General features: G+C 37.8%; 1 long non-coding RNA gene across 1 annotated transcript; it reads left to right on the top strand.

The window, feature by feature from the left end:
• The first annotated feature begins 1,634 nt into the window (after positions 1-1,634).
• Positions 1,635-8,264, top strand: LOC124901169 (uncharacterized). Its single transcript, XR_007059108.1, has 2 exons — positions 1,635-4,926; positions 5,274-8,264. It is a non-coding gene; the product is annotated as an uncharacterized LOC124901169 (long non-coding RNA).
• Positions 8,265-25,351: the final 17,087 nt, after the last annotated feature.

Below are 25,351 nucleotides of genomic sequence, written 5' to 3'. Positions count from 1 at the left end.
CTGTGATAAAAGCTGTGTATAATTATTTTGCACTATTGCAGACCTTGCAAGACTCACAAATTATTTTCTCAGTGTTTCTTTATCTGCTGATATACTGTGTTTCTTCTTTAAAGGAAAACCAGACTACTCTTTTCTATGCTCGTGCATATAGGATCTGGAAAATCACCATAACCTCACTGCCAAAAGATTCATCGTAATCATAAAAGTGACAATTTAGTTGTTCACGATGCACAATTTCTAAACCTCAATAAATTATGGATTTTAATGGAACTTATATATTTAACATACCCATTAGTACTTGAATATATAATCACATTATAGCTGTTCCATTTTATTTTTATGGTAAATGAAGAAGTACATGGTTCAAGCATATTAATAAAATTAAGTAATGTTTGTAAGACATTTATTTTCAAAGCACTATGAATTCCATCTGCAAATAACCTCTTCAGAATACAGTAGAGGGTAGTTTGGAGGAAGCATGATGCAATTTATTAATCTAAGAGCATGTGTCTTTGTGGAACCTGAATGGTCTGTCTTCCTTTAACAATACTTTTTTTTTTTTTAGAAGACAGAAAGAACTGGTTTTATCTTAGAAAAATGTCCAACCAGTATGAGGTGTTAGAACTATAAAGCTTATCTACATATCAATTTTTAAAAGTACAGTATCAGCAACTCAATATTACAAGCAACTTCCTCCATTGCATGAGTTTCCTTTACAAGTACAACAGCTGATTTGAAGAGTCCCATAAAGTTCAATGTGCTTGCATAACATTACATGAATTGAATTATCTTTGCATCAGTGGATAAAGCACAGATTAGCTTGGGGCAAAAGTTTGCAAAAGAATGAACCAAGTGGCCCAATGTCGCATGCCACGGGCTCCAGCTCCAGGGGCAGGAGCTCCCTCTCTGCAGGCCTTGAGTGTGGTATAACAGAACATAAAGTACTGACCACGCTTTCAAAGGGTTGCAAAGATAAAATCTTTGATGCAGGAGTCTGACATCTAATTTCAGGTTTCTCTTTGTGATGTGCAGTAAAGAACGTGTGTTTCTGCTCTGATGACTGTGAGCAGTTTTCCAGGTTGGGTGATAGACGGTCACCTATGCAGATGGCCAAACTGTTAGTGGAGACAATGAAAACTCAACTCAGAATGCACCTCACCACCGGACAGTGGCCTTTGTGAATATTCACAGGACTGCGTCTAACCAGTATGCATCTGTCCCCCTTACGGGTGACAAAGGGCATGTCACTTATAGTGAATGCAGAATCGTTTTCATTTTTCTCCTTCAAGAAAGGCTGGTGGTTACAGTAGTGCTTTGCCCCTGAGATGATGTGCATGAGAACAAACACACACACACCTTGGGCAACAAGGAAATCACATTACTGAGGGCCGTGGAAAAGTGCAGGAGACACAGCTGGAGGCTGCTCAATCAGGTGATGCTTCGAGAATATCTCAATTAGCAGGTAATGCAGGTTCTAAGTCATATAGAGATAATAAATCATAAATGTAGCTCACATCGTAAGGCTCTCCTCAGATTTTTCTGTTCCATTTTTGGCATGGGGGTGACAAATAGAAATAACTATGTTGGTTAAAACCAAACTATCGCCTAAAAAACAAATTCTGGAGAATGGCATTAACATTTCACTGATAATACTCTTTTCCTAAATCGTGGCATTCCCGTTAAATTATTCATACAGTGTTCTATGAGAACATATGACAATTTTTTAAAAAACGTATTCTTCACAGCCTCTTGCAATCAGCCAGAATGCCAATCCATGGGTTATTTTTCTGAATCTTGCCATCTGAATGTTCTGAATAAATTTTACTTTATTCAATAAGTTTCACTGTTGTTTCCAAGCATTTCTTTTATGATTTCTACAGCTTCACTTCTATTGTATTACGCTTCTATTTTATTTTTTCCCAGCGTCTTGATTTCCCTTTATATCCGCCGTGTGCTTCACTTTACCGTTTTTGCAATATATCGTTTCAGCTTTGAGAAAAGATATTTCCTATGATCTGATCTTCTCTTGATGTACTTAACTTTGTGACGCTCGTATTTCTCTGAGTGACCTTTCTGATATAATTCTTTGGTGTTACATCTTGAAAGTGCCTGCTGACAGATTTAGCGGATGCCCTTTTAATACCCATCCTGGAACCACCCTGCCTGTCTATAATGCACTTTCTGCCAGCCCTGAATCGTCTGTGTAGTGCAACAATAACTCTTACGGGTGCCACTCCCTAGTCACCTCATGCATTTTTCTTTTTGGAATTGTCAGATGACTTTTTCATAGTTATTTGCCTAAAGAAATCTCGAGTCAATGTAATAGAAACATATAGACATCATCACGTAGCCCCCGTCTCAGGAGGGAGGACTGATGTATGCCTTGCAGAGAACCAACTGACACCTGCAGACTCGGGGGTGCTGATCAGGGGCTGAGATGCCCACTCTCCTCCTTGTGCTTTTGGGCACTCTCCCTCCTCGCTCCCCAAGTTCTGGCTTGTGACTTTCCAGTGGGAAGAGTTTCTGGTTGATTCTGGACCATACCCTCATTCTACCATGGTTATCCTTAACTGCAATCCATTTTTCCAAGGTAATGGCAGCCCTGCCCTGCCACAGCGGCCTGATGCAGTACAGGAACCTGTCTCTCCTCTATGTCGGTGGATTAAAATGAACCAGACAGCACCAAATCCTGGGAAATGGTAGAAGCCAAGTAAGAACTGCCCCTCCTCCCCACACTTTGAACTAATATCCTCTCATTTTAATCATTTCATGCTTTAGTCTAAGCCATGATGTTTACTTTGTTAAATAAATTAACATAGTACTTGGGAGGCTGAGGCAGGAGGATCACTTGAGCCCAGGAGTTACAAGCTAGTTAGCTTGGATCGTGCCACTGCACTCCCGCATGGGTAAAAGAGGAAGACCCTCTCTCTAAAAAAATAAAAAATATATAAATTAAGATAAATTGTTTAATAAGTAAGAGATTATAAAGACCCTGGTATCATTCCACAAACAGACTCTGCCATGTGCTGTGTGTTGTGTACTGGGTTACAGTGGGAAATAGAATAAAGTCTCTGCCCTTATGGAAATTGCCAGTCTAATGCAGAAGAGCAACAAGCTACAGAAAAATCCATTGTCAGTATAATGGGTGTTGCCAGTAAAAATGAATGCAAAGCCATGTGCATTAGACTTCTATTACCAAAGTCTGCCTGAGGTGGAGCAGGGACCTGTTTTAGGGGTCAGCACCCCTTTTCCACAAGCATAAAAATAAAGGGAAATCTTGAATACCTTCAAGATAAATTCCAGGCACCTAGCTGGCCCCGAGAAGTAAATGAGTAAATGAGTGACTTCATAAGCAAGAAGGTAACGGCCCCCTAAAACAACAGCCAAGGAAGGCAGAGCCATGAGATGTTTGGTTCCCAATAGAAACCAGAGATAACAGCTTAACATATGTCCTTGAGTTACATGGACCCCCACCAAAAGGATCTGCTGGCACGGAGACCTCAGATAAAGGGGGATTGAGGACTGAACGCTCACCACTGTTCTCTTCTAAATTTCTTCCTGAGGGGCCTGGAGGAAGTCATACCCACGAGCCAAAGCTAACATTCTTTTCTGCTGACCCCAAGTTTTGAAGCAAAGCTTGTTTTCCTTAACTGATTGAAAATCAGAAAAGTGTTAAATCTTCCTATTACCTGTAAGATTCAGCTTCAAGATATCCTGCCTTTTTAGGCCAAATCAATGTTTGGTATTGATTTGCAATTTTGCCTGTTAAGTATTGATTTGTGATTTTGCCTGTAATTTCTACTTTCTTGAAAATTTCTCCTCACTTTACAAACCCTTGCTTGCAAGGCATGGGGTTGGTTAGGTCTTAAGCATGAGCTGCCTGGTTCTCCTTGTCCAGTACCCTAAAAATAAATACCCTCCTTTCTACTGCTGCAAACCTCAGTGTGGATGTTTGGCTTTCATGTGTTGGGTGAGCAAACCCCAGCTCAGTTGGGCAATATGACACAGGTTTCAATGAGCCAAAATCAAGGTGGGCTGGGTTTCTCCTGTGAAGCTCTAGAAGAGAATCTATTTCTTGGCTTTGTCCAAAGGGCATCATATCCCTTGCCTCATGGCTCTTTCCTCCATCTCTAAAGCTAGAAACAGCAAACTGAGTCCTTCTCACATCGTATTGCTCTGCCTCTCTCTCCTGCCTCTCTCTTCCACTTTTTAGGGCCCTGAGATTACACTGGACCAGCTGACTCATGGGGAATCCTCAGGTGATGGGAAGACATGGGGGAGCTGTAAGTAGATAGAAATACAATGAGAGTTGTATTTTTGAGGTGATTGTTCAGAATTAGCATAAACAACAGAGGCGATGGGTTGGGACTGGGACAGTGACAACAGAGAGCTGGTAGAGAATGTTTCTCAGAAGGCAGGAGATGACAAGGCACCTGCTGAAAATGTGGTCTCCCACGTTTTGTTTCTAGTTACTCATCCAAAACTATTCATCTAGTTACTCCAGTGGTAACTGCAGCATAACTTCTGCTAGGAGGATGATAGCATTTTAATCTTGAGGGTTTGGTGTTTAGAAGTTGGTAACAAAAATGCCACCACAGATTGGGAGAAGACAATCAGAAACAAAAGCCCTTGAGAAGCAGATCAACTGATTATCCAGTTCTTCATATAAACCAAGATTATCTTTAAAAATTGCAAGAAAAATATAGTTCATTATTTTGAATGTACTATATTAGATATCTTATTCTCCATTTCTCTTTCAATCATCATTATTTTCTTCAAAATGCAGCTCCAGCAATTGTGGTTAATGCTGGTGCAGGACAGGCTTTCATGACCATCAAAACTACTGCCACCACCAAAATTCAGTGGATGCCTGCGTGAGTTGGGGTGAAATGGCATCTTGAACCTTTCAAATGACATTCATCCCAGGTCAGTATACTGTGGTGTATTGAATAGTTTAACTTGAGGTGTACCTTATGTGTGTATTCATTAAATTATCAGCAGTGCATTCATTAAAAGGAGTCCCTTCCTGAAGTTTGAAGAAGTTTTAGTCATTTTTATGTAATAGTACAGTAAATACAGGGATGTATTCAAGTGAGTAGAAGTTTCACATATCACCATACTGCCAAACTAAGCAATGAGAGCTATATAAATCAAATGGTATATGATTTTGCAATATTGCTCCAAACTCATTAATTATATAAAGGTCAAAATAATGAAACGAAAAAAATGGCTTTATGTTGATTAGGTGAATTTAGCTTTCATTCTCTGTGCAGATGTCATCTCAAGGATATGGACTTCTCTTCCAGCCTGTTCTACATCCGTGGAAATCATGTCCTCTCCTGGGTAACTATGTCCATGATCTGTGTTTTATGAATATGGCCACATTCAACCTCTTTTGGCCCCTGAGCATGTGCTGGCTTGTGGATTGTTTTTGTTGTTTATTTCATCAGCACATGGAGCATACAGAGTTAGTATATATTATTTAACAGAAAAACACATTATCTGGTCCAAAGGAAGGTGATATGTTATCTCTTATATGAGGGTAGACTCCTCCATTCGTGATCTAAAGTTTCTTTGGAAGGAAAGGAGATTGTGATTTATAAGTAGACTTTATCATGGAAAGAAAATATATACAATTAAACTTTTTACAATCATGAATGAAATAAAAACTGTGAAAATAAATTTATACTGGAAGTCATGAACAAGTGCAAATATGAGGGATTGCAGGGGCTTTGAAAAATATAAAGATGGACAAGAGAAGTTTCTTTACACAATGGTTAGCAAATTTATAGAACTTAGCATATTTATAGAGCCTCACGAGTGTCATTAAACTACATTATGCAAGTAGGTTTAAGTAGACTGTATAATAGTGTCAAGGATGGAGAACTATAATAACTGTTAAGAATGGCCACAGATGTTTTAAGCAATGGCAAAGTCAGGGAATATAATTTTTAAGACAGTGGAAGGTAATTACACTAAGTGCCAATGGCAGATGAGATTCTTTGTGTTAAGTATTGCAAGTTGGATCCCAAAGCACGTTTAATATTTTCACAAGGAGATTTTCACAAGGAGAGTATGCTCTCCTTTCAGATGTATTACAGAATCATAACTTGAAATGTAATGATAGATTTGTGTGCTCAGAGAATGCTGGGTTATGCTTAGAAAAAAGTGAAAAGGCATTGTTGTAAAAAGCCTTCTAAGAAATAATATTTATGAAACTGAAGAAGGCATCATGTGTAAGTTTTATAGTTTTAAGCTAACATTTATGTCTGATGATTCATTATGAATTAAATTTTGCATATGGTATTGATGTATAATTTTTATTTTTTGTTTTGTTTTCATTTCCTTGCACATGAAAACCTGTTTGTCCCAGCACCATTTGTTGAAAGATTATCTTTACTCTGTTGATTTACCTTTGCACTTTCGTGAAAACTCAGTTGTCATATGTGAGGATTTGTTTTTGCTCTGTATTTTTTACTATTGATCTGTCTATGTTTATGTCAATACCACACTATCTTGATAACTATAGTTTTATAATAAATCCTGATGGATAATAATATTAGCATGTTGTTTTCAGTTGCCTGTTTTGAGGCATTTGTTGAGATAAAAAATTATTCTAGGAAGAATCTATACCAATGTCACCCCTCTCAGACAAGATATTGGTAAATTTTGTCTATGTCAATTATATGGGTTTTCTTAAAGAAAAAGTATTTGATTTCCTTGATTTTGGGGATGATTTTTTTGGTGTTTATTTCATATTTGTCTGCTCTGTCCTCTATTATTTTATTTTGTTGCTGCATGTTTGTTCTTCCTTAACAAGAAAGCTGAAGTTATTGACAAGAGATTTTTTTTTGCTTTCGAATAGAGACATCTATTACTATAATCTCACCACTCCCCATGCCATGTACCACTTTAGCTGCCTCCCAGAAGTTTGAATTTGTTCATTTTTTTCTTTACACCAAAAATCTTTCTAATTTCTTAATTTTTAATGTATTCTTTGATGCATAGGTTCTTTAGAAGTGGGTTATTAGTTTCCAAATACTTAGAATTTTCTAGATGTTCCTATTAGTAACTTCTAATTGAACCACGGTAGTAAGAGAAAATGCTTTGTGTGAATATTGAGATTTTTGTTATGACCCAAAATGTGCTCCATCTTGGTAAATATTTCCTCTGCACTTGAACAAAATGTATTCTTCTGTTGAATAGGATGTTCTAGAAATGTCGCTTAATGTTGGCTGACTAATATTGTTTAAATATTTTGTGTCCTTACTGATTTTCTCTCTACTTGTTACACTAATCACTGAGAGGGAGCATTAATATATTGGGCTACAATTGTTGGTTTTATTACTTCTCCCTATGGTTCTATCAGTTTTTGTTTCATATATTTGGAAACGCCATTATTAGTTTCAGAATGTTAAGTCCTCCTGATAAATTGATTCTTTTCTTTTTTCTTTCTTTCTTTTTTTTTTTTTTTCTGAGGCAGAGTATCACTCTGTCACCCGGGCTGGAGTGCAGTGGCGCAATCTCGGCTCACTGCAACCTCCGCCTCCTGGCTTCAAGCAATTCTCCTGCCTCAGCCTCCCAAGTAGCTGGGATTACAGGTGCCTGCCACCGCACCCGGCTAATTTTTGTATTTTTAGTAGAGATGGGGTTTCACCATCTTGGCAATGCTGGTCTTGAACTCCTGACCTCGTTATCCACCCGCCTCAGACTTCCAAAGGGCTGGGATTACAGGTGTAAGCCACCGCTCCCGGCAGATAAATTGATTCTTTAATAATTGATAATGACTTAACTTAGAGGGCTAATATTATTTTCTCTAGTATATATATTTATCTGATATTAGTAAAGTCATTACAGTTTCTTTTCATTAGTGTTATCATGACTTTTTAAAAATTTTTTCAAAATCTATTGAGTCTTTAAATGCGTTTATTATAGATAAAATACAGTTTGCCTCTATTTTTTAAATTTGACAATCTCTGCCTCTTAATTTGGATGTTTGCACCATTTTTATTTAATTACATTTTGAAATTAAATCTACTATCTTGCTGTTTGCTTTCTAATCGTTTTCTCTGTTCTTTTTTGCTCTTGTCTTCTTTTTTTCTGGCTTCATTTGAAATAATTAATTATTTTTAAGGATTCTTTTTTATCTTAATTTTGACTTATTACTCTAACTCATCACAGTCCCAGTTTGAGTGATATTATACCATGTTATAAAAAATGTAAAAAGCTTATAAAATAATAAAATTTTATTTGCTCAACTCTCAGATCTCTTTTCTCTTTTTATTGAATTTTTTACGTTGTCATATTGTCAAATATTTCAAGTTTACTTTATATTATAAATATGATGATACATTGTTATTATTGTTATACAAACAATTAATTGGCTTTTAAAAAGATTTAAATAATAAGAAAATAAGCTACTCATGTAGTTCCCATTTTCAGTGCTCTCCATTACTCTGTGTATAATCACAGTTTTCAGGTAACATCTTTTTTCTCTCCGAAAAGCATGTAAGATTGCTTTTAGTGTGGATCTGCTTCTCATCAATTGCATGTGTAAAAAATCTCCATTTATGTAAGAAAAATCTTTATTTCACCTGTGTTTTAGCATTTTATGTTGGAAGTTTTCCTTTTACATTGTTTTCATTGTGCTTGAACATTTTATGTTGGAAGTTTTTCTTTTGAACTATTTTCAATGAGAAAATTGTGGTCATTCCTATCTTTGTTCCTCTGTACATACTGTGTCTTTTTTCTTTGCCTGCTTATAGGATCTGTGTGTTATTGGTAGATTTGAGTACTTTGAGTATGATGGACCGAGTATATTTTTTTTGTTTGTTTGTTTTATGTTTCTCATGTTTGGGATTTGTTGCATTTCAAGGATCAGTTCTTTGTTGTATTAACAAATTTGAGAGTTTTCAGACATTATTTCTTTAATCAGCTTTTGCTATGGCCCCCTCCATTATCAGGGAGTCCATGTGCATGTGCATGAATCTATTCTAAGTTTTCCCAAAGATCACTGATGCTCTGTTCATTTCTAATTCTCTTTGCTCTTTATCTTTTATTTTGTATAGTTTATTTTGCAATGTCTTTAAGTTTACAAATATTTTCTTCTGCAATGTCTACACTAAAATTAATCTCATTAACTGAATTTTTTACTTTATATATAGACTGTTCACTTACTGAAGTTCAATTGAGTCTCCTAAATAATTTCTAAGTCTTTATTGAACTTTCTGAACATATGCAGTACAATTTGAAAAAAAAAAGTCTCTCTGCTAATTCTGACATCTGTGTAATTTTGTTTGCTTTTGATTGAATATTTTTTCTCTTTATAATGGCTCATATTTTTCTGTGTTTTAAAATGCCTGGTAATATTTTATTGCATTCTTGACATTGTGAATTATATCTTTTGGCTACTGGATATTTTTATATTTCTATAAATGTTTCAGATCTTTTTTCATGAGACACAGTTATGTTACCTGAAAACAGTCTGATCCTTCAGGTGTTGCTTTTAAAGTTTGTGAAATGGAAGAGGAACAGTGATTGGTCCATGACAAGCTATTCTCCTCTCCTCAGATGAGACCTTCCTGACTGTTCCCCTCCATGCTCATGGGTCATGGGTTCTTCCAGTCTGTCTGGTGAAAACCGATGCTATCTCAGCCTTGGGCGAGTGACCAACACTGATACTTTTTGTTCTTTCTGATGGTTTCTTCATTTATGTGTTCTGATCAAGCCTTAGCTGAACATTCTGAAAGGATCCTCTGCAGTTTTCTAGAGGACTATCTTTATACAGTTCTCTCCCCATTGCCACCCTGTTCTGCAGAACTGTAACCACGATTATCCCCCTGGGTGCTCCGTTGCACCTCTTTAACTCACAGAGCTCCCTGGGCTCCATCCAGGCTCCCCATCCCTGCCTGCTGGCTTGAACTCTCTCAAGGTACTAACCTAGAACAATCACAGAACTCACCAGGGATCTTCACTGCCGAGTGTTCAGCATCTCGAGATCCAATACATGATATAGTTCATCAGTTTTTCAGTGTTTCAGCCAGAAGGTAACCCTGGTTTCTGATACTCCGTCTTGTTTCAAAGTGAATTCCCTAGAATAAGAATCCTTCATGACCAAAATCTTGCCATTATAGTTGGCTATTTAAGTTCAATTAGAAAGTGTCAAAATAACAGATAAATGTATTTTTATCATGTAGTGTAAGAATGAGACATGTAAAATTACTAGAAGTAATTGAAAATTTCAAACAGCTTTCTCTCTCCTTAGCTGAGGAGCCCTTGTACAGTGCCCCCATCACATCAAGCCTATCACTTTACTTGTCCTAATATAGTGACACTATGTCTCTTGTTTGTCATTGCTATTTTGTCATATGTCTATTTATATGATTTCATTGAGCACTTATGTATTAATAGTTTCTCCTATGGGTTTTATTAACCAGGGCTTGAAAACAGAAATCCTGCCAAGTCCCACGTTTTCTTCGGTTCCAAGCACAGAGAGACATTGTAAGTATATGTAAAATATGTATTTTCATAGCTACTGGCTTTCATATTGACCTGTAAATTGATTTAAAACAAAGAACTACTCTAGAGAGTCAAATCGTATGCAAACCAAGCATTTCCTGCCCGTAATACTTAGTGTTTAGATTGTTTGGTTTGTGATCCATTTAATTAACATCTTTAATTAAAGAAAATAAATTAACAGTCAATGGAGGGCCACGGTTGCTCAAGCCCCTGGGAGAGTTCCCTTTCGCCATCAGAGTCATTGGGATTCTGTTCTGCTTCATTGCACCGCTGGCTGGAGTGGAAATTTTAATGGTGCTCTCTTATGCAAAGGGTGTGCTCTACAAGTAAAACAAATAAAAATGGGGAAATGTACGCTTTGTACCTTCGAAAGGTTGCATTCAGTGGCACATAAGACTTGGGTTACAATAACATCTGAAACGAGCTGGGCACTGGGAAGGTTGCACGACTTGTTTCAGAGGAGAGCCAGTTGACTAAGCACTGGCGTGATTTAGTGCACCGTCCATTATTTCCTGCCTGTCATTTAAACAGGCTATCTATATGCATGGTAGGACCGAGAGTGCAAAGAGGAGGTGGACGGCATGATTTATGGGTGAGGGCAAACACCTGTGGGTTAAGCAGCTCAGAAATTAGCCACAAGTAGCATATTAGTGCAGCTAATCAGGCACGGTTCAGTATTTCGGTTTCTTGATTTACCCATAAATAAGCTTCTCTCTGGTTACCCGGAGGCCCTCAGTGATTAACTGCCTTGACCTACAGTAAAATACACAGATCAAGCAGCACAGTGGAGTTTGCAGGTGTACGCTGTAATCGTGCGATTTTAAACTTGTACGTCTGTGGGCAGAAGGGCTGCCAGTTTTGAGAATCGTGTTAAGGAGGCTTATCAGAGTACTTAACAATCAATTTGCTTTTCATTCCTCTCCTCCTGTGATTGTGTTGACAACTTGTAGACTCAACTGCCCTGTGACCAGTCAGTGACCATGAAATATTTTCTGCCTTAGTGTCTATTGCAGAAACAGAAGCGATGCTTATCCTGCGAGGTGTATGTGTTAATGTTGCCACTTTTAGTAAAATCCAAATCATCTATGGTATGTGTTTTTTGTTTTATTTTTTGTGGGTGGGAGCCTTTTGCACTGCCTGGTATGTGTTGCTGTGTGCCTGAAGAATTCTGTCGTATTGCCTCCCATTTATAGTGACTAAGCTGGACTCTTTTATGCTAGAAATGAAAGACAGCATAACTAGACGACAGTGGAACTAGTAGTCAAACTACCATTGACATCCTGTTAAATATCTCTTATGCATCCATTCACTAAATATTGTCTCTTTCTTTTATCTTAGAAAAAAGAGAAAAGTACTCATAAAAACAAAAACAGCCAGAATCCTGGGGCAAATGATCTCTGAGCTTTAGTGAGGGGTTGATATTAATGATGAGAACAAGACAACAGATCTAGATGACTGAAGTGAAATTACACAGGTAACTATAGGCACTCTCACATAGCCAGAAGTTCACCAGGAGAGCCAATGTTTCCCCAGATTTTTAAGGAGTTTTCTGGATCTCCTAGTCTATCCTGTGCTGTTTGTATGGTTCCTGAAATTCTTTCAGCCTGTGTAAAGCTCTGGTTATGTGGAGAGGGTCACTGCTCTTATTCCAAGTCTTCCCCTGGCTGACCCCAGATCACTGTAAACTTTGAGAGGAAAAGTAACAGAGGGACCAAGCTGCTTGCAGATGCTGATTCTTAGAAGTATGTGGAATATATTATTTTTAGTTAGCAGTAGAGAGAGCAATAAAATTACCGAGTGGTTAGAACCTGTAGTCAAAATGTGGAAATAAAGAGAAAGTCAGGACTCAAAGCACTGTTGTGGAGAAACGAGCTGCAGGATTTGGTAAACAGATGGCATTTTGAGTGCCAAGGGCAAGAGAAGTCAGAGGTACCACAAGATTACAAGCCTAGGGAGAGCGGAACCACCTCTGGAAATGGGGAAGTTAAGAAGCCGTTACTGAAAGATAGTAAACTATTTTAAGTGTATTTCCATTTGTAAGTTAATAAATTCAAGAGAAACCCAGCTGAGATCTGAATGCTCAGCCTACTCCACTGTGAGTTACATTTTAAACCAAACAGGACTCTGTGGATGATATCCCTTAAGGCAAGTAGTGTCACATGAATTGCAAATACTAAACTGCTAATAGCTTTCTCAGGAGTTTGCTTCCTGTTAGGAACCCTTCAATGACTACATCCACTTATGTGTGGAAAAATCTTGCAATGGTGAGTTGAAGCCCCAGTTCAGAATATTTCTGCATAATTACCAATATGCACAGACCATAGGTACGGCCCCATTAGCTGTTTATAATATTCTTCATGGCAGTAAACAGTAACCTCTTCCCCCAATAGCCCTTTGCTGAGCAGAGTGCAAAGGGTCCTCTCATTGTTCTTATTCCACCCCCGACCCACCAGAGGTTCTGTCAATGGTGGAGCCAGGGAGCTCTGTCCTCTGGGAGGACAGGAGAGAGGCAGGGAGTCCAGTCCTCTGCCTCTCTCAGGGGTTCTGTGCATTTTATTCAGGCCAAGAGTTCAGATATCAAGGCCTCGTGACAGAAACAGGTGGTAGAGTTGAGCAACCTGTATTCATCTCCCTGAAATGCTCATAATAACATAATTTTTTAGATTCCATTGTTCTGCCTGTAAGTATCTAAATGAGGTTATATCGGCTGGGCATGGTGGGTCACGCCTGTAATCCCAGCACTTTGGGAGGACGAGGTGGGCAGATCACTTGAGGTCGAGAGTTCAAGACCAGCCTGGCCAACACAGTGAAACCCCATCTCTATTAAAAATCCAAAAATTAGCCAGGCATGGTGGCAGGTGCCTGTAATCCCAGCTACTTGGGAGGCTGAAGCTGGAGAATTGCTTGAACCAGGCGGCAGAGCTGCAGTGAACCAGGATCTCACCACCAAACTCTAGCTTGGGCAACAGAGCAAGACTCCGTCTCCAAATAAATAAATAAATGAGGTCATATCAGTAATTTATTGTCTATGGGCCTTGAGTGGAAGTGAGGGGTCACTTCTAGGTCAATACATCTAAAAGTGGCTGTGCCTTTTCCATTCTTTATCCTCCACATCCTCCAGTCCCAGTCCTCTAGTCTGGAAGCAAAGGACTCCAACATGTGAAGTTCCCGTGTGTTGATAGCCTGAGTCCCTGAGTCACCACTTGGAAGAGATCTGTTTATGTGGACCACCAGATCCATGCCGCAATAGCAAAACTTTTAGTTCTGTAAGCCACTGGGGTGGTGGGCTTGTTATTGAAACATACCTGGTCTACCCTGACTGATAACAACCAGTTTTTATCTAACAGTAAGCCATGTCTCTATCTGCGTATAGAGTAGTCCCACTGGGATTTAAATGTACGAATGCATGGAGAACACTAGAAAAGTGCATCATGAGTACCCAAGAAATATTAGTGGTTACAATTATTACATGCAGATTTTAGTTTCTCTGTATATTTACCAAGAACAGCTAAGAAAGTATTCCTCGTTTCTCTAGGGAACACAATGTGTTCCTCCCAACATGACTTTTTCAACATGAATTTTTAAAGTGCAAAATATCACAGATGATTCCTCTTTGGTCTTTCTGTTCTCTTCTCATGATGATTATTCTGGGATGAGCAACATAGTAAACCTGTTTCAGTTGTGTCATTATTTTATATTCTCTGATTTGGGAGAACATTCTTTTCCCATCAAAGCCACTAAAAACATTTACTCCACCAGGAATACTAACTGAAATTTATATGAAACACAGAGAAAAAGAAGCCTTAGGTATGTTGTAAACTTCTCATATCCGGAAGATCAACTTTAGCTTCCAGTAGTTTCAATTAATTCCTAATTACTTTTGTGTCATCTTTATATGAGAGGAGACACACTAGGAGTGAGGAATAATAATGTGTAGCACTGTTTCTTTCATAGAGTTGAAAGAAGGTTGTGTTTATTATGAACACTACAGTAATGAGAATGATCATTAGTAATTCTTTACATCTGTGTTTTTCTACCTCTGAGGAGCTTTCAGATAATAAATTCTCCACTTATAGAAAAAAATCAAGGAGAAGATTTTAGTTTTTCCCCATGGACATCCCATATTTAAATTGTTTCACAGGATATTATGATTTCACTGAGAAAACCCTCTCTGGTAAGTACTGACCATTTCCTGACTTTGAAAGGAGTCTATAGGACATACTAGAATTCCAATTACGTTATAAGATTCGGTAATCTTTCAGATCATAATACAGCTACTAAATCTAAAGAAATGAAGGGAGGGACTTACCAAAGCCAATGCCAGGCTGCTCTGAAGCCAGATGACTCCCTGAGAACAAGCACTTCAAAAGGGGGCGGGCACAGGAGCAAAGCAAGTCTTAGTCTTAGAGTGCCTCCCCGAACCCTTTTTGTCCAGGAAGCTCAAATCAAATTCTACCTTTGCGTTAAGGTAGAAAGAGGGAGGTCACTCTCGGCACTTGTGTTAGAAACTCCTTGAAGTGATAGAGGCTGTGACAAGAACGGGTTTGCTTCTGATGGGCCTGTAACATAACAGGATGTTCTATTTCAGGCTGATGTGAGAAGATCAATATGGACCTTAATGATTCCTTTGTCATAACGTGTCCTAGTTTAATCCTGGAGATGTGGGTAGGTGCTCTTGTAGAGACAGCGATTGTGTTATTGTCAGTCAGAGAATATCACAGCTGCCCTTGAACATTTAGCTTTAAAGAAAAGCTGTTTCTTTGCCTTTGGTGGTATTTTAAAATAAATTGCATAGTGATTACTATATTGCACATGCTTTCTCCATGTGGGAGTGCTTGCCACTAACAAACGTTCTTCACACTTGCTTGATTCCTGTTTCCTCTCAAAAATAACCAAGGGTTTCATTTATTTCACTTTCCACTTTGAGAGTTCTTTATTGTTAGTTGTAAAAAATGTTATTTACATTACTGTAATGAGAAATAGCTTTATCTCCAAACTCCAAAATACTTTTTTTCTCTATCATATAGTCATTTGTAGAGTCATTTATGTATCAAGTGGTAATTTTCCCTAATTTTTTCTTTAGCACCAAAGACGAATCTTTATGAATGTATAATAAGACTTTTTCGTAATGGGTAAGCAAAAAACAAACAAACAAACAAACAAACAAAACAAAAAACAAAAAAAATTTCGGAAACAGGATTCTTATGTATTTAATTCTGTTTAAGCCTTCATTTTCTTTTTTTGCTAAGCCCAAATGACCATTTCTGAACTTTCTGCTTGCAACATGCTCATTAGAATCTATTAGGCCAAGAATTGTTTCTATTTTGATGGCTACTGTATCAGATTTCCATCTTTGACCGTCAAACAATTGGGAGGCCATAAGTCAGCCACTTGTTTAAAGTTGTGGCTATCCTGAAACAAAGAGGTTCTGGACTAGAAATTCACAACTCCGTAGTTCAAGAAACAGAAGCTTAGAAACACGATCTGCTTTGCTAGGACCGCAGAGTGTCAGCTGGAAAGGTGCGCTAAGAAATCAGCTCTTCAGCCACCAGGGAGGTCAGCAATGGAATGTTAAGGTAGGAGAGAAAGCATAGGTTTTCCAGTGAGCTGGGTGTGGGTTCAGGTCCTAGCTAAGGACTCTGCACATAAACACATTTAGTCTCAGTCCTGATAATTCATCTGGTAATGGAACTGACCTAGAAAGGTTTACAGGAGGATTCACTAAAGAAATACCTAAAAGACATTTGACATAGTACTTGGAATATGTCGTTGCTCAAAAACAAATTCTTTCAGCTAACCTTTCACCCCTTTCTTTCTTATTAAAATCCACTGATGTCATAGATCTGTCTGCTAGTCACAGATGGTAATTGGGGTGGGCAGAGACCTTGTGCTTGAGAATCTTCCTAATTTCATGATTCTAGTTTTCTTTTCTTTTTTCTTTCTTTTCCTTTTTCTTTTCTTTTCTTTTTATTTTATTTATTTATTTTTTTTGAGACGGAGTTTTGCTCTTGTTGCCCAGGCTGGAGTGCAGTGGTGCGACCTCGGCTCACCACAACTTCTGCCTCCCGGGTTCAAGTGATTCTCCAGCGTCAGCCTTCCCGAGTAGCTGGGATTACAGACATGCACCACCATGCTTGGCTAATTAATTTCACTATTCAACATATCTTCAAATATTACAAAACCTCTTATAATGCAATTTGTTTCTTGCAAATGGCATTTATTCTTGACCCTCTTTATGACAGATGTCCCCTCCAATGGCTCCCAGTGATCTCCACCTAGTGTCTTCATCCTCTGGCATCATCATGTCCATTTAAATGTGTGATCATCTTATTGAGTCTCTTCTTAGGAACAGACGTGACGGAAGTGATGGGATGTCCCTCCCCAAATCAGAATATGAAAAGACTATGGTTTCCATCTTAAGTTGTCTCTGGAGCTGTGTCTTGGCTCAGCTGTTGCACACTGTGAGAACATGCAGACGGCCTGTGGTAGGTGTGGATGTGGACGATCAGTCCCAGTAGGGCCCGGAGAAGCCTGCAGTCCCAAATGGCGGCTTGACTACAACTTCATGTAAGGCTCTGAGCTGGAAACCCAAATAAGCTATAGCAGTTTCTAGACACACAGAAACTGTGTGATAAGAAATATTTGTTCTTTCAGGGCCTCTACATTTTGGGGTAATTTTTACAGAGTAATGGATACCCCACAATATACAATTCTACAACAAGTTAGAAACCTATAGATTGGAGAACCATTTTTCTCTTTGGGTGTTGGAGAGTCATTTTATTTTTCATTTTAGAATAAAGCCAAATCTTAATATATATCATGCTGAAATAACAAGATTAAAAAATCTACTCTTAAGAGATGAAGTCTTAGTAGGCTAATAAGATAAAAGAAACAGTTTAAGCTGTAAACCTAGTTTGACAAAATAGATATTAGGTGTCTTGGTTTATAAAATGCTAACTAGGCTAATATCATTAGGATATTTTAATGTGTCATCATTGCACTTAATCATATAATCCTTTATTTATTTATTTGACAGATATTGATCAAACATCATGCAGTAGCCATAAATATAATTAGAACCCAGAATCTGCCTTCAAAAAGATCAGAGTGTGCTCTTTTACTTTTGTGTTTTAAATCTATTTTGAAGGATCACAAAAACCCTCAAAATTTTTGATAGAAAACTTTAGTTAAGGATTAGCACCTTGAATTTTGAATAGTTATCTATATTAACCAATGGGAATGGCTCAGTGACAAACATCTTATTTAAAATAACACTTTCATTTTAGCCAAAGGGATGTTTATATCTCAAGCAAAGGCAACTCAAAATGACTACATGAAATCAAGGACTGGTTGGAAAAAAAAGAAAAAGATTTTATTGTGAGAACCCTGAACTGATATCTGATGATGCTTGGAACAGCTCTTGAGATGTCAAAGATGATAATACAGTAACAACATTTGGGAAGTATTTCTAGTCTTACACTTAGCCTTTTGGCAGGAATTTATTAAGACAGAATAAGCCTGTGACTTTTCAATTCTGAGTACAATTTGTTTCTCTAATACATCCGCAGGAGTAATGTGTGATGGAATTTTTCCCTCCCCAACCCCTCCAGTGTGGATGATGATATGCTATAATAGGTTCTCACAGGCCATATCTCAGCAATATAAAGCACAACACATGTACATCTGTGGCCCAGTGTCAGGGCCTTAAATGTACATCAGAAATGCATTAAATCTTCTGATTGCTATTCTGTTTGTACAGGTTGTTGGTTCAGATTTCTTCCTGTAATGCACTCTGCTGATTACCTTGAATTATTGGTATATCCTTGGTAGAACAAGCACAACTTGTTCAGAAATACAATCATACAGATGTGGCTTGAGCCCTTTCGGTGTTAAGAAGGAAAAAAAAAAGCAAATATTTCTTGGAAGTTAAAACAGATAACCATGTGCTTACTTAAAACCACATCTCAAAAGCATTTTTGCTTGCAGGTAATCTTCTCGTCAGCATAGCCTCACTAGGATGCTCACTAGGTGCTCCATGTTTGATTCACTGCAGGCAGATGCACAAATATGCAAATCTCTCTGCTAAAAGGAAAGGAAGAAGGAAAATAGTTTCTGGGTTGGTCTGTGTTCCACGCGGGAAGAATGCCCCTTGGTCTCTTAGTGCACGATGCGAAGGCTGTGCAAATACGTCTTAGCATTCAGAACATTCAGAATCATAGTATTTGAGAATTTTATTATGATGTGTTACCCGCAAAGTTAATACTATTTCCCAATTTTTAAAATGTTTCCTATAGTTGTGATTTATAAGTAATATTAGTAATAATACCAAAATATAATATTTCAAAGCCTATTTGGATGTTGTTGTCTCAGTATATGAGCTTGAAAAACTGTAAGTCTTGTCATCTTTTCCTAACTGGTCACTGCTACATAAAATAAGAAAATAAATTAAGCAGGTATTATTCTTCATATAGTACTATCACAAACCTCAGAGACTTCAGTTCAGCTGTGTAAAAAAAATGGCCTAATTGTTAATATTTATGCCTCTATTCCTTCATTGCTAGTCTATTTTATTTAAGTCTATACACTAATTATAGTATGTTAGTTCCATTTCTTATTTCTAATTGGAGCAGACCTTTTGGGCTGCTGTAATGAAATACCTTAGACTGGGTAATTTCTAAACAGAAGAATTGCATTTCTTCAGTTCTGGAGGCTGGGAAGTCCAAGATCAAGGCACCGGTAGATTCAGTGTCTGGGAGGGCTGCTCTTTGCTTCAAAAATGGTGCCTTTTCTCTGTGTCTTTACATGGTGAAAAGGACAGAGGAGCTCTCTGGGGCCTCTTTTATAAGAATGCTAATCTCATTCACCTTCCAAAATCTCCAGCTGTTGATACTGTTTTATTGGGGATTAGGTTTCAACGTAAAAATTTGGAGGAACAAACAGATTTTTCTCTAATGGAAATAAACTCTTATACAATCAAATTGTTAAAAAAATAGAATTTTAAAGGGAAAAAGAGGAGAAGGAAGAAGATGTTATATTAATAGCATAAACCCTTAGAAATTTCAAGGTGTTTGGGGTCTCAAAATCTGAATCTTTAGATTTTCTGTTCTCAGCTACATCAATTTAGACAAAACAGCCAATGTTTTATAGCTTCTGATTTATCATCTTTAAAAATGATGGAATAACTTCCCTCCTATTCTTACAATTTATTAAACTGTATCAAAGTGCTTGGAAAAACTTAAGAGACTGTTTACATGTAGACATTTAGGAATCTGGTTAATATCACCATAGTGAAGAATGAATGAAAGTAAAATCAAGGTAGCAATGTAAAGTATGTAAGAAAATAAATAAGCATATATCTCACTTCTTGCCCTATTGCTTATTGTTTAACTAAAAATACAAGCAGTGTGAAAATGTTTAAAAGGCAGCTCTCTTCCAAAAGCTGATAATAAGCTAGCCTGTTACAGCAGCTGACATTTCCTAGTACACACAAAGAAGAGTACATGTCATGAAAAATTAGATGTGTACAGTATTTTAATGTTAAAGAATTTGCAAGCAATAGACCTCAATGCTGTTACTAACATCAAACATGGAGACACTTAAAAGGGATTGTGTTGAAAATGAAATTTTATTTTCATAGTTTCCCTTAGACATTTCACTTTTTTCTTTTGCTGACTTTTCTAATTGTCGCCTAGAAAATTTGTTTTATTCAAAACGTAGACATTTTGAGAGCAGTGTCTTTACCAACAACAATATTTCTGTATTTATAAGTTCCTGCAATTTGCAAATATTGATTTTTGGGAATGAGTGCATGGTGAGCCTATTGCCTCTGCAGGTGTAAATATTCTGGCAAGTCTCTTTCTTTAATGCCTCTTTCATGTGTCTGTTTGTGTAGCTACTGAGTTTCCAGAAATAGGTGCAAGATATCTTCTGCTTTCAAGAAATTCATAGGATAATGGCAAACCCCTATTTTCTAGGATCTACAGTGTTCAGTAGTGTGTGTGTACACATATTGGTGAGCTCTTGTGTAATGCATTTTAAATATGTAATTACAATAATTTTCTAGACTGAATCAGTGTGGCCTTGGGCTTGTGCCTTGATGTGTAACTTCTCTCTCTCTCTCTCTTTAACACCAACTTTCTGAAAAGGGTCTTGATCATCCCTTGCTTCCTCCAGTTTGGGCTCTAGCCATGTCCATTATGTGTGTCAATCAGGTCCAGCCTCATTGCACCCTTCCCTTTAAATTCCTAAAGGAATTGTTTTAACCTGGGTGTGTAATACAAATGTGACTCCTCAATACATTTCAAGGAAGGAGATTAATAGGTAAGAATAAGAAAGAGGGTTCGAACTTGTTCATTTTGACTCTCAAAGACTATCCAAGGCCCAGTAGGTTTTACATTCCTGTAGGAACTGAGATGTTGCAGTCATCAGATTAAGAACGGAAGAGTTTCTCTACTTCTCAGTCTTACTTAGGTTCTTAATCTCCTAATATGCAGCCTTAGAAACGTTAATGCAATGATCAGAAATCAGTGGGAGTGAGAAATACATTCTCACTTTCTATTTACTGATCACTTACTTGGTGCTCAATGCTAACAGTTTTTATTTTATTTTATTTTATTATTATTATACTTTAAGTTTTAGGGTACATGTGCACAATGTGCAGGTTAGTTACATATGTATACATGTGCCATGCTGGTGTGCTGCACCCATTAACTTGTCATTTAGCATTAGGTATATCTCCTAATGCTATCCATCCCCCCTCCCCCACCCCACAACAGTCCCCAGAGTGTGATGTTCCCCTTCCTGTGTCCATGTGATCTCATTGTTCAATTCCCACCTATGAGTGAGAATATGCAGTGTTTGGTTTTTTGTTCTTGCAATAGTTTACTGAGAATGATGATTTCCAATTTCATCCATGCCCCTACAAAGGACAGGAACTCATCATTTTTTATGGCTGCATAGTATTCCATGGTGTATATGTGCCACATTTTCTTAATCCAGTCTATCATTGTTGGACATTTGTGTTGGTTCCAAGTCTTTGCTATTGTGAATAGTGCCACAATAAACATACGTGTGCATGTGTCTTTATAGCATGTGTCTTTTTTGCAACCTACTCATCTGACAAAGGGCTAATATCCAGAATCTACAATGAACTCAAACAAATTTACAAGAAAAAAACAAACAACACCATCAAAAAGTGGGTGAAGGACATAAACAGACACTTCTCAAAAGAAGACATTTATGCAGCCAAAAACACATGAAAAAATGCTCACCATCACTGGCCATAAGAGAAATGCAAATCAAAACCACAATGAGATACCATCTCACACCAGTTAGAATGGCAATCATTAAAAAGTCAGGAAACAACAGGTGCTGGAGAGGATGTGGAGAAATGGGAACACTTTTACACTGTTGGTGGGGCTGTCAACTAGTTCAACCATTGTGGAAGTCAGTGTGGCGATTCCTCAGGGATCTAGAACTAGAAATACCATTTGACCCAGCCATCTCATTACTGGGTATATACCCAAAGGACTATAAATGATGCTAACAGTTTTAAGTGCATCATCTCACTGAATCTACACAAATAAATAATTTAATGGAATAATTATGGAGGAAGGACAGGCTGCCTGCCACTATCACATCTTTTTATTATTGAGAAGAGAGCAGGGAAAAAGTGGGATTATTCATGGCTATCTACACATACGCAACATCTATGCCAGGGGAACAAGGGAGATTTAGAAAAATGAGCTACTACCTTTCAAGATGGGGTTAGGAATAGGAAGGTAAATTCTATAATTTTCCAACTGGGATCTTCCTGTGGGGCCTAAATACCTATACACTGGCCTGGAAAATGCTAATATAGACATAGAGAAATATGTGTGTATGCCTATGTCCGTATTTATATCTCTCTATTAATGTATAGATATTAGTACCTACATTTATATAGAATCTGTATCTATGTCCTTGTCTATGCCTATCTATCAATATCAATATTGACAACAGAATCTATATTTATCTATCTTGACATTAACATCAACATCTATATTAATATCCACATCTATATTTTCAACTATATCTAATCAATATCTCTGTTTATACCTATATTGATATAGCTAACGATGTCTATATCATATCTGTATCTATATCCAATTAAGTGTATAGTGAGTCCATATATCAATATTGACATCAATATCTATTACTATATCTAGTTTATATGTATAATGATATAGATATACACAGGTGCATCTAGATATATGTATGTAATCTATGTGTATGTATTTATTTATATCCATATATTGATATCACTGTTAATATTGGCATCAACATCAAACATTCACAGTCAATATAATTCTATGTCTATAGGTATATCTATGTCAATGTCTATACCTATATCTATGTCAATGTCTATACCTATATTTAGATTCTGCTTTCGTGGGTCTTATGTTCTAGTGGAGTAAACAAACAAAAAAAGGAACAAACAACAATATAAACGTAGTCTTTCATTAGTATCCATGGGAGATTGGATGCAAGGCCCCCTACAAATAACAAAATCCACTGACGCTCAGGTATGTTATAAAAGATTTTGTAGTATTTGAATATAACCTATGCACATCCTCCTTATACTTCACATCATATCTAGATTAGTTATGATACCTAATACAATGCCTGAACATCATGTCATTTACATGGATTTGGTGTAGTATTCAAGGCTGGCCTTTTGAAAGTTTGTGAATGTTTTTGTTCCAATAGTTTTGATCCACTGTTGACTGAGTCCATGGATGGGGAATCCATAGCTATATAGGTCCAACTGAACACATCAAAGAGTGAAAAGTGCTTTGATGAGTATAAGACAGTTTTCTAAAGACAGGTGACTGCCATGTGAGGCAGTTACTGTTTTACAAAGGGTGGTCAGGACACACATCTCTGATGAGATGACATTAATATAATACCTGGAGGAAATGAGAAATGAACCTTGTTTATATGTAAAGGAAGAGATGCCTCGACAGAGGATGCAGCAAGTGCAAAGACCCAGAGGTGAGAGCTGACTCAGCAGGAGGAGAGAGGAGGAGAATGGGAGGAGAGTGAGAGAGAGGAGAGTAAGAGATGAGGTGGCCAGCAGAGAGGGAAAAGGGGCTGCCATGTACAAAATCAACTTCAGAGGACATGAGGGGAAGCAGAGAGATCATTTGGATACTACTGGCAGTCTTAGGCCAGTGTAGTTGTGCCATCAGCTGGGTAGATGTTCACTGAATCACTTCCTCTTCCAAACCCAACTCAATCTCATTTCTCAGCTACTTTGCTTCTAGAGGTGGGGGACAAGGGCTCACCAAGAGAGATGAACGTGAATGTCATTTCTGGCACAAAGCCATTAGGAGAGGAGGTTTCTTCTCTGGCTGGTCTCTCATCTCCTGGTGCTGTGTCAATGTTGAGGCCTAGAGGAACACTGGTACACACCCTTTGAAGCTGTCTCAGGCTCTTCCAGAGTGGATTCTGACAAGACAGTCAAGACAGTGTGGAGAACGTCCCACCCTTCATCTTCACCAGCATTAACCCTGATGACTGGTGACATGGGACAAACACCTTCTCTATGGTCAGCTGGTAATATGTGAGATGTGTTTGTTATAGGATCTAGCATTACTTACCCTGACTAATACTTCTACCTAAAAGGAGAATGCTAATGAAATAAAACCTAAGACTTATAAACTTGACTTCATAGTTGTGTAGTAGACACTGAATAGGGACATATCTGAGCTGAAAAGATGTTGATTCATATCGTGCAAAACAGCCAATCATGGACTGAGGTGGCATCTCCAGGGAAAGTGCTGGAAATCAAAGTGTTAGTGTGATAACTGACCAGATTGCCAAGGATAAATGGCAGAAAATAGAGTAAAAAGTATGAAGTCTTAATGAATTGGAAAATCCAAGTTTTCCTATACCTTACATGGGTGAAAAAGCCCATAATAAACCAGAGTGTATTAAAGGCCAGCTACAAATTGGAGACCAGATTTTAAATATGCCTCCTCCTCAAACCATATGGTTTTTTTGTTTGTTTGTTTTTGGTTTTTGGTTTTTTTTGAGATAGAGTTTCACTCTTGTCACCCAGGCTGGAATGCAATGGCTTGATCTTGGCTCACTGCAACCTCCACCTCCCGGATTCAAGAGAATCTCCTGCCTCAGACTCCCGAGTAGCTGAGATTACAGACATGCACAACCACGCCCAGCTAATTTTTGTATTTTCAGTAGAGATGGGGTTTCACCATATTGGCCAGGCTGGTCTCAAACTCTTGACCTCAGCTGATCCATCCATCTCAGTCTTCCAAAGTGCTGGGATTACAGGCATGAGCTACTGTGCCCAGCCCAAACCATATAGTTTTAAGGGGTGGCCATTAAGTTGAGACAGAAGAGTGAATGTGAAGATTCAAAATGATAAAACAGGTTTGGGAACTTCATCAAGGAAAGAACGTTAGAAACAGTTGCAGAAACACAGACATGACTAGAAGTTAGTAACCAGCAGCATACTCCATTAGGAGAAGCCTCACACTTTGGGAGGATTGAATTCCAATCCTACAGCAGAAATTGAGCTTCCTTTGCCTGTGCACCAATTCTATTTTTTTTCTCCTTTTACACTTCTCCCACTCTCTTTTTCCCTACAAACTAATGGGGGGGGGGGTGTTTTTAAAATTGAAAGTACAGAAAGAACTTTTAATTCTTTACATTGTCTTTATTAACCTCCAAGTAGAATTTTTTGGAATTCCAGATTTGAAGTGTGCATAGGAACTTCAAGTTTTTAATTAGCGGGGGTTTCGGTATAATTATTGAGATATATTTTGTCATA

Source organism: Homo sapiens, chromosome 5 (assembly GCF_000001405.40).
Source record: "Homo sapiens chromosome 5, GRCh38.p14 Primary Assembly".
Taxonomy (NCBI): Eukaryota; Metazoa; Chordata; class Mammalia; order Primates; family Hominidae; genus Homo; species Homo sapiens.
The sequence above is the reverse complement of the archived record's forward strand: the minus strand, read 5'-3'. Positions and strand labels throughout refer to the sequence as shown.